We start from the raw sequence: 9,903 nt of genomic DNA, 5'->3' as shown, positions 1-9,903 counted from the left end.
AGTTGCACAGTAATTACTTTGTAAGAGTCAGCTCTTGTTAAATCTTTAGGAAAATATAATAATTCTAAACTTGTAAACACTTAACAATGTAAACTTCAAATATATAAAGCAAAATTGGCAAGATCATGCAGAGTGGTTGATAAATCCACACTCCTAGTTCAAGAGTTTGATACTTCTCCCAGTGACTGACAAATAGAGCAGACAAAGAACAAAAAAAAGTGAATAAATAAATGTGATTAGTGTGCCTTTGACAAGCTTTAAATTTGGTGGCCTTCAAATTTTAAACTGGGCTGCTTGACAGCTATCACAAATATGAAAACATATCAGTTAGGATAATTTTTATTACTGGGAAAAAAGAACACTATTTTCTTAGGTTTACTATGCTACTTATATTTGAGGAATTATGAAACATCTATGTGCTCAATTTTTTAGTTTCCTCCCATTCTATTCACACACTAAATAGATTTTTTAAATCTATATTTTTATTTAAATATTTTAATTTAACATAAATGATTAGTTGTGTGATGTATACATCATATAAAGTTTCTGGTAGCAAATTCTTTTTTTTTTTTTTTTTTTTTTTTTGAGACAGACTGTTGCTCTATGGCCCCCCAGGCTGGAATGCAGTGGTGCCATCTTGGCTCACTGCAACCTCTGCCTCCCAGGTTCAAGCGATTCTCCTCCCTCAGCCTCCCAACTAGCTGGTTACAGGCGCCAGCCACCACACCCAGCTAATTTTTTGTATTTTTAGTAGAGACGGGGGTTTCAAGTTGGCCAGGCTGGTCTCAAACTCCTGACCTCTAGTGATCTGCCCACCTAGGCCTCCCAAAATGCTGGGATTACAGGCGTGAGCCACCGCACCCGGCCTGCAAAATCTTAATTTACTTTGTGTATCTTTTAGCAAAACAGCATAAGCAAATAAGTGAGTGATGCTTCCTTTGGAGGCCGAAGAATGTCCTCTCCAGTGGGAGATTTCCAGCATAGTCCTTTCTCTCCTTTCTCACCCTCCAAGGCAGCTATTTCCTTGGAAGTTAATCTCCCACTGAGACAACAGCAGGTGGAATTAAACTCGAACTTCTTAAGTCTTAAAACTGTTGCAAAGATTCCTATTTATACCTGCTTTAGTTTAGGTGTTTTTTTTTTTTTTCCTCCCTTAACTCTTGACTATCTTTTAAAACTGTACCTTTTTTTAGCTTCAGTAAGATAATTTGCAACATTTATGAAGAATCAAATCGAACTGGATTTGTTGTTTTAAAAAAGCACTGGATAAGTATTATTTAGACTACAGCCTGAGAGATGGAAAAAGAAACAAAATTCAACTCAAACTTACTAAACAATCTCAATCTTACAGAAACTCCAGGCTACTAAAATACCCTCTAGAGAGCAACATTTCATGCTTAGGAAGAAGTTATTTACTTCATGCAGGAAAGTACTTTGCTGCAACAGGGGGCCCTGGCTCACCATAATATTGGGTTTGGCCTATCATGGGACTACAGTTAAAATATTTTATGCTCTCAATTTATTTTCTCTCACATCTGGATTAGGAATAATTTTTCTAGACCTGAATTACGGAAAATTTCTCTTGTCAAATCCACATGCCATATACTTGACGGTAAACATTTTAGCCTAATTGCAAAATTCACCACTGGGAAGGCTAATTATTTAAGGTGTGGGTCCCAAGTAGAATTTCTCCACCTTTAGGTAAACCACAAACACATATCTCTGAGAACTTGAAGTGTTGGACTCTACTGCAAAGCAAAGAGGCATTTCCTGCTGGGCCCTCCCCTGGGGAGCCTCATGCCTTTGGCTTGGGGTTGTTTCCACAGGCTGGGATCTTTTTTCCTGGATGTAGGGGTCCTCTTAAACACAGGGGAATTGTGGCGACCCTTTGAGGTTGCACAAGGAATTATTTGAGTGCCTTCTTTCAGTTTCACTCATATCCCCTTAAAATTGCCATAACAAGCAATCCATTCTCTTGCTAAGGGCTTCTTTGGCAATGCCTTAGGGTGAGCTATTGCTGAACTGCCGCCTGTCTGTAACCCCAAGTTTGCTAGAGCCAAGAGAACAGAGGAGAGACTGCGTTTTAGCTTTGTGCCATGCGCTTTTACAGTTCTGCCTTGTTTTTGTTTATCTACTGGGCAGAAATTAAGAGTTTTGATTGTCTCTAAACACTCTTACTCAAGCTCAAACTTTAATGGCAAAAACCAAACCAAAAATCACACATATACCAAGATAGAAATATTTTTGCTTTTATTTAGGTAGGGGAATTGCTTGAACCGGGGAGGCAGAGGTTGCGATGAACCAAGGTCACACCATTGCACTCCAGCCTGGGCAACCAGAGTAACACTCCATCTCAAAAAAAAAAAAAAAAGACAGTGCCAAACGGCCATGTGCAGTGGCTCACACCTGTAATCCCAGCACTTTGGGAGGCTGAGGCAGGTGGAATCACGTGAGGTCAGGAGTTCCAGATGATGCTGGCCAACATGGAGAAACCCTGCCTCTACTAAAAATACAAAAATTAGCGGGGTGTGGTGGCGTGTGCCTGTAATCCCAAATATGTGGGAGGCTGAGGCAGGAGAATCCTCTGAATCCAGGAGGCAGAGGTTGCAGTAAGCCGAGATCACGCCACTGCACTCCAGCCTGGGCGACAGAGAGAGACTCCATCTGTAAATAAATAAATAAAGACAGCACCGGTGCAGACAGCAAGTATGAATGTTTATCAAAAATAGATTTCAATTGTACTATATGTGGAATGAAATTTTACATATTATTCAGTATATATCCATTAGGCAAATACTATGTACTAGATTCTGTGTTAGGCACAAAGACTGTAAAAATAAATAACAAGTGGTCCTATTCTGAAAATATTTACACTGTGTCCTGGGAAATGGGTAAGGATAAGACAGACATGCAGTAACTTAATTATAATGCAATATATACACACTATTAAAACTCAGAGAAACAATACATTCTGACTACAAAACCTTACAACATTTTCATAGGGAAGACAATATTTGATGTGGGTCTGGAAGGGTGAACTTAATTATAAGAAAGAGAAAAGCACTGTTTCTATGAAGTGAAAAAAAGGCACCCAAAATATCCAAAATAGCATGGAATCTATTCATGTTTGTGGAATAAGTATTCTCCAAAAAACAATAGAGATGGACAAAGATTTGAACAGATATTTCACCATAGAGAGGATGATTACAAAGGAGAACCAGCAAATTTGGGGGATAAAGGATATATTCGTTATGTTGATTATGGTGCAAGTTTCACAAACGTATACATCTGTTAAAGCATGTCAAACTGTACACTTTAAACGTGTGGTTTATTTCCCATCAACTACACCTCACCAAATCTATTAAAAATAAAAATGCAGTGAGAAAATGACTGAGTCTACTTCATGATTTCACATTTAGCCTGGGAGAAAATCTATATAATGAAAAACCGTCATTAAAATGAAAATAGATATTTGGTCAATAATTGATATGGTTTTTTAAAATGTTCATTTAACACATATGTATTAAGTGCCTATAGATGGCAACAGTGCCAGGTGTGCCTAGACCTAGACATGCAGTGGAGGACAAGATAGGGTCCCCCAGCCTTTATATAATTTATTTAGTCAGGATAGCAATATAATAGAGAAGCTTAAGGTATAAGCTTTAGAGTTTAAAAATCTAAGAATTCCTCAAAAGTCTTCAACTTCTCTTCGGTCAGGATTGGGTCACAAGTTAATTTACAGGCGGCATAGTCAGAATTCAAACCCCACCCCCTCTCTATTGCCACTCAGTATTATGAAATTCAATCATAACTAGACAGACTGAAACAGAACTGAAATGTACTAAGTATCTTACTATGGATTTAATGTTATTTTTAAGAGCTTTATTGAGGAATATGTGACAAAAAATTGCATAAATTTAAGGTGTACCATTGTGGTGTTTTAAAATACATATACATAGTGAAATGATTACCACAATTGAGCTAATTAACATATTCATCAACTCATAGGATTTCATGTTGTTTAAAGCCCTATTCATGTGGCACCTAAAATCTTTTTAACATGTACCACCTTGGGACAACTGAGCCAAATGTTTTTTTATTTTGTTTTGATACAGGGTCTGGCTCTGTTGCCCAGGCTGGAGTGCAGTGGTGTGATCTTGGCTCACTGCAACCTCTGCCTCCCAGACTCAAGCAATCCTCCCACCTCAGCCTCCCAAGTAGCTGGGACTAAAGGCATGAGGACCCTGCCTGGCTATTTTTTATATTTTTTGTAGATATGGGGTTTCACTATGTTGCCCAGGCTGGTCTCGAACTCCTGAACTCAAGCAATCTGCCCACCTCATTCTCCCAAAGTGCTAGGATTATAGACGTGAACTACTGTGCCCAGCCAAGCCGAATGGTCTTTAGGGCTCCCTCTGGCTCCAATATCTTAAAATAATGTTCTAGTGTTTTTGTCCATGCAAAGGCAGAGGGTGTCATGGCCCACTGCAATTGTCCTGGTCTTTGGTCTTCTTTTATACTGCTGGGAAAAAAACTATCATGTCCCTGTCAGGTTCTAGGATATGTTTGAGTCCTCATAGGCACACAAGCGGTAGTCCTCATCTCTTCCCTGGTATACATTCATGGAGGTTGGTGGTGGGTGTGTGGGTATGGGGAGTAGCGTGAGAGGCAGCAAGAGATTCCAGGCTGATTTAGTTCTCTCTTGGTGAGCAAAATGCAATAGAGAAGAACTGGTTGCTAAACAGAAGTAGCCTGGTGAGCAGTACATGAAGCAAAGTGGCTCCTTTTAAGTTCTTGGGCAAGGTGTTGACACCCATTGTTTGATGCTGCGTGAGTGTATTAGTCTGTTTTCACACTGCTATAAAGAATACCATCTGAAAATTGGATTTAGTGTATACTGCTTTGGTGATAGGTGCACCAAAATCTTACAAATCACCACTAAAGAACTTACTCATGAAACCAAATACTACCTGTTCCCCAGAAACCTATGGAAATAAAAAATTAATAAAACAAAATAATTTTAAATGCAAAAAAGAAAAATACCATCTGAGACAGTGTAATTTATAAAAGAAAGAGGTTTAATTGACTCACAGTTCTGCCTGGCTAGGGAGGCCTCAGGAAACTTACAATCATGACAGAAAGGGAAGTGGGAACCTTCCTTGCAAGGTAGCGTAAGAGAGAAGAGCAGAGGAAACCGCCACTTATAAAACCATCAGATCTTGTGAGAACTCACTCAATACCATGAGACCAGCATGGAGAAAACCATCCCCATGAGCCAATCACCTCCCACTAGGTCCCTCCCCCGACACATGGGGATTACAATTTGATTACAAGTCGAGATGAGATTTGGGTGGGGACATAGCCAAACCATGTCAGTGGACCCTACTTTCTAGCAATACTTTCAGAGATGGAGAGTCTCCAGAAAATGGGCCAAACCCAAAATTGCTCCTTCTGTCACCCAGCAACTGTTACAGGGCATGAGGTAATTCCACAGTAAAAGGTTTGAGTCTCATGGTAAAGATTCAAAGTTATCTTCAAAGTTTGTATGCAGAGCACACAGGAAGTATGATCCCTTCAGGTTGTAATTAAGTTAGCTACACACATACATGCAACGGTGACAGCCTTAATTACCATTTGTTTTTATTCCCAAGAGTGCTGCTTCTTGGAACACTGGTCAGACAAAAAGAAATGGAACAAAACTGGCTTCAGAGAATGCCATTCATGTACCAAAACCGTTATTCTCCTTTCTTTCTCTTGACAGTTTCGGAATCAGTCCATAGGTTCTATGTCTTTCTACCTTTAAGGCAGAGTTTCCAATCTTAACACTATTGACAATTAGGCAGTTTCTTTCTTTGTTTGGGGACTGTCCTATGCATTATAGAATGTTTAGCAGTATCCCTGGCCTCTGCCAAGTAGATCCCAGTAGCACCACCTCCCTAGTTATGACGACCAAAAATGTCTCCAGACACTGCCAAATGTCTCCGAGGGGACAAAACAGCATACTTGAAAACTACTACCTTAAGGTAACTTCATTTTAGGATCCTGAGTAAGGGCAACTCTAGTCTGATTCATAGATCTTCACCATTTCAAGTTCAGGAAGATGGGATTGGGGGATTATTGGGCCTTCCTCCTTAATTGAATTTGCCTGTTTCCTTCCCAGTAGTCTGTACACCAGCAGAAAAAAAGTGCTTATTTATTAAGTCAGACAAAGTCACATGCATGTTTTTCCCCAGGGCCAACACCTGCTTTCCTTATATCTACAGAATTAAGAAGGGTCACTCAATATCTGCTCCAAAGGGATGACTTTAACACAGAACGAATGGTTGCTTCTACTAAGGATAAGAGAAAAACGAAAATAAACTCTGGTAGGGCACCTCATTTCATACGAATTTTGGGAGTATTACATTCCAGTTAGTATTTTTTTTTATTTGGCCCATTATAAATGAAACACATAAAGGGTGCATTTTTATTCTTGTTGTTGTTTTAATACTGTATTTTGGGAGGTTGAATATACTTTTCAAGATATACACTGGTGAGGGGAGTTTACTGCATCCTGCAGTAATTGTACTAATAAGCTGCCTAAATATTCTCCTATAACAATTGAATAAGGAGAGGTAAGTAAACAGCATTTCTTAAAAAGTATTTCTTAAAACCAACTCTAGGATAACAAAGGTAGTAATTAGGATTCGTTTTCTCTCCTCATCAAGACTGTGCTCAGCCCCTCTGCTGAGCCAGCCTTTGCAAGAGATGGCATTTTTTAATCAGTGATTGATAGCACCTAAGCTTTCAGGCAGGAGAATGTTCTCAGTGACCTCTACGAAGTTGAGGTACTGAGTTATGTTTCAAAAGCTTGACAGTGCCAAGATGCCTTTGAGCTCATGAAGTCTCAAGACCAACATTATCAGAGAATTGGTTGATGGTTTCAAAATGTAGATTAGCTCTGATGATGGATTGGAAGCTGCAGGAAGGAATTACAGAGCAACAGTACTTTTGACTTGAGAAGAGTCTTTTAGTTCTTCTTTTTTTTTTTTTTAATTGACCAGGCTTCTTTTATTGTCTGTAATCTTCTTTAAAGTGGCCCCAGGGGGTTTTCCCTGAGTTCCCAAGTTCTGTCCTTGGCTCCCATATCTCTTCTCTCCATCTCTATTTTCTCTTGGTGTCCCCATATACTCCCATCTCTTAAAATAACCCCCCTTGTATGCATGACTCCAAAATCTATCTCTTCCTGGGATACAGACTGTGTCTTTAACTGCCTATCTCATTCTCTCTCAGACGTTTGGTACTATAAACTCAACATGCCTAAAACTAGCTCAACACCCTGCCTCCCAAATATCTTTCTCTCAGTGAATGTCATTATATACTAGTCATCTATGCCCCAAACCAAGGTCTCATCTTCTTGTCATCACACTGTCAGGGGCCCTGATTCATCATCCAATCAAGGACAATGTTCTCTGGATTCTATTTCCTAAATGTCTTTCCAAGTTTTCCCACCTCCAATCTCATTGCCACTTCAGCAGCAGCAGCATCTCTCATCTGGATTTTGCAATGGTATTTAAATTAGAGCTTCTGCTACAGCTGTCTAATCTCCTTTTCATCCTTTGCATTGCTACAGAAATTACCTTACTCAATGAAACACAGATATGATTGTGTCACCTCCTTGCTTTACTATTTAACGTTTGCTGTGACCACCAGTCTAGCCTTTGTCACTCACATATGGTTGATGCAGCTCTTACTGACTTGAGGAAGGACTCTCTTGTCACCGATATTACATCCTCCATTTCCTGACTCTCACAAGGCTTTTTGTCTCTCAGTGTTTTACAGTGCAGCTAGACTTACATCTCTGCCTTTACATTTTTTTCACTTATATAACCCCCAACTAAGTTTATTAGTTTTATTTAAAAACCTGTACCATATACCACTGTCCTCTTCTAAGAGCACTTCTCCAAGCACATTAGAAATATTAACTCATTTACATTTAAAACAACCTAAAACCAATTTTTCAGCAACTAAGTTGAATGATGTATGAGCAGCACCACACAGAGACACCCTCCCAAGCATTTTTACTGCAAGCTATTATCCATCACCTCAGTGAGAGTTCTTTGCAATCCTGAGAGGTTGAGATGATGTCAGGGCTTAATCTTGGGGCTCTAAGTTCCCTCTTCCTTCCCTTTCTTATCTGGAAGGCTTCTGCTTATTGACTATGTATTGAGGATACTGGACTCGGTGAGTTACAAACATGAGGCAGTCACATATTTTCCAAACACTACTTTAAAAATAATGTAGCATGTGATTTGGGGAGAGTAATTTAACCTCTCTGTACCTTGGTTTTGCTTCTGGAATACAGGATAATTGTTACCTACCTCATGGAGTTGTTTTGAGGCTTGAATAAATGAATACATATACAATGCTAAAACAGTACCTGCCACATAGTAAGCATTCAATAAAAGTTAGCTATTACTATCCTCCTGCATCCCCATTTAGATCACAAGTTCTTTGAATTCTGAGAGCACAGGATAGTGTCTGGCACATACTAGGTGCCCCCAACATATTGGCATAATCACAGATAAAGAGGAAGCGAAATAAGGATTCTAGGAATTAAACAGAATTTGAAGATGATGTGAATGCATAATGCTTTTTTCCTAAGGATTTCAAAATAGCATTCAAACAATACTTGATTTGCCTTGGAGAAAATGACTATAGACAATATCTCTATGGTAGGGGGAATAATATAGCTAGATTCACCCACAGAGCAATTGTGTTACTTTCCTGGGAACTAATGAAAGAATTTGAAGCAGCTACATCTTTGGGTAGACAGTGAGAACTCTAAACACCTTAAGGTGTCAGAATTAGCCTTTATATATTTCATTTTTCTGGTTTTATCCCAGCCATTTTTTTTAAGTGGCAATGGAAGAACCTTCAAAGATAATTACACAGAGCTCTGCAGAATTTTATAAGATGCCTTTTAATCAGGTGCTTTGGAAAGCAACTTGATCAAATGACCTACTTCCCATAGGCATTTTCCAGGTACTCAGATGCCATCAGAGCCTCATTGTATGACAATGGCAAAGCCAAACCAAACCAAAACAAAAAGTAATGTTTCTTTCTGCATTATAACAGATAGACAGAACTACTGGGTGAGTGTGATTTCATTTGTCTTCAGGTAAGTGTCCTCCATCACTGTCTCTCTGAGAGTCATGAAACCAAAACCAAAATTTAAAAAGAAGAGTAAAATCAATCAATCATATTTCCAAATAGTGTAATATTTAGCAACACATAAACTAAACACCGGGGTTATGTTAAAATTGTCCCCATTTGTTATCCATATTTCTACCCAGGGATTGAACTCTGTATGGAAAAGCTCAACCATTACAAAAGCTGAATCAATAGTTAGTCATTACAGAAAGTATAGTTACTTATTGAACTAGAGGAAGTCATAGAGGGAGTAAGCGAGAAAACATTAGCTAGAGTCAATGGATTTGTGGTTGGATTTTTCTGAATTTATACTAATGAAAAAAAAATGTGCTTCTGTCCAAAAGATCAATTCCAAGACAAATAAAAATATTATCATACTAGCCTGAAAGAGATGCCCTCACTTTCAGTAAGGGCCTGGGAGGAGGAAGGTCCTTGGAGAATTATCTAGGAGTAGATGACATTCAATTTTGTTTGCTAAACATTCTTGACCTCATGTCCTCTATAAAAATAGTTCCTTTCAGTGCAGCTGAGAAAGCTGTGATTTTGCTGTCCAGTCCATCTAGACTGGCCTCCTTCATCATGCTGAAGATGTGTGTGGTTTAATTTCCAAGAATAAAAGAAAAAGGTGGCAAGCATAGCTGCCTCCCATTCCAATGACTCAAATACAGTGTACCCTGCTCCCCATTTTTAAAGTCCCCAACCAAGAAAGCA

The 9,903-nt window shown here is 39.0% G+C and overlaps 1 annotated feature.

Moving 5' to 3' along the window:
* Nucleotides 1,712-2,006: a silencer, noted in NCBI's record as "tiled region #8614; K562 Repressive non-DNase unmatched - State 24:Quies". NCBI's record gives its function as "represses a minimal TATA promoter and a strong SV40 promoter by Sharpr-MPRA in K562 cells {active_cell/tissue: K562}" and the evidence as "EXISTENCE:reporter gene assay evidence [ECO:0000049][PMID:27701403]".

This window comes from Homo sapiens, chromosome 9, assembly GCF_000001405.40.
Source record: "Homo sapiens chromosome 9, GRCh38.p14 Primary Assembly".
Taxonomy (NCBI): domain Eukaryota; kingdom Metazoa; phylum Chordata; class Mammalia; order Primates; family Hominidae; genus Homo; species Homo sapiens.
The sequence above is the reverse complement of the archived record's forward strand: the minus strand, read 5'-3'. Positions and strand labels throughout refer to the sequence as shown.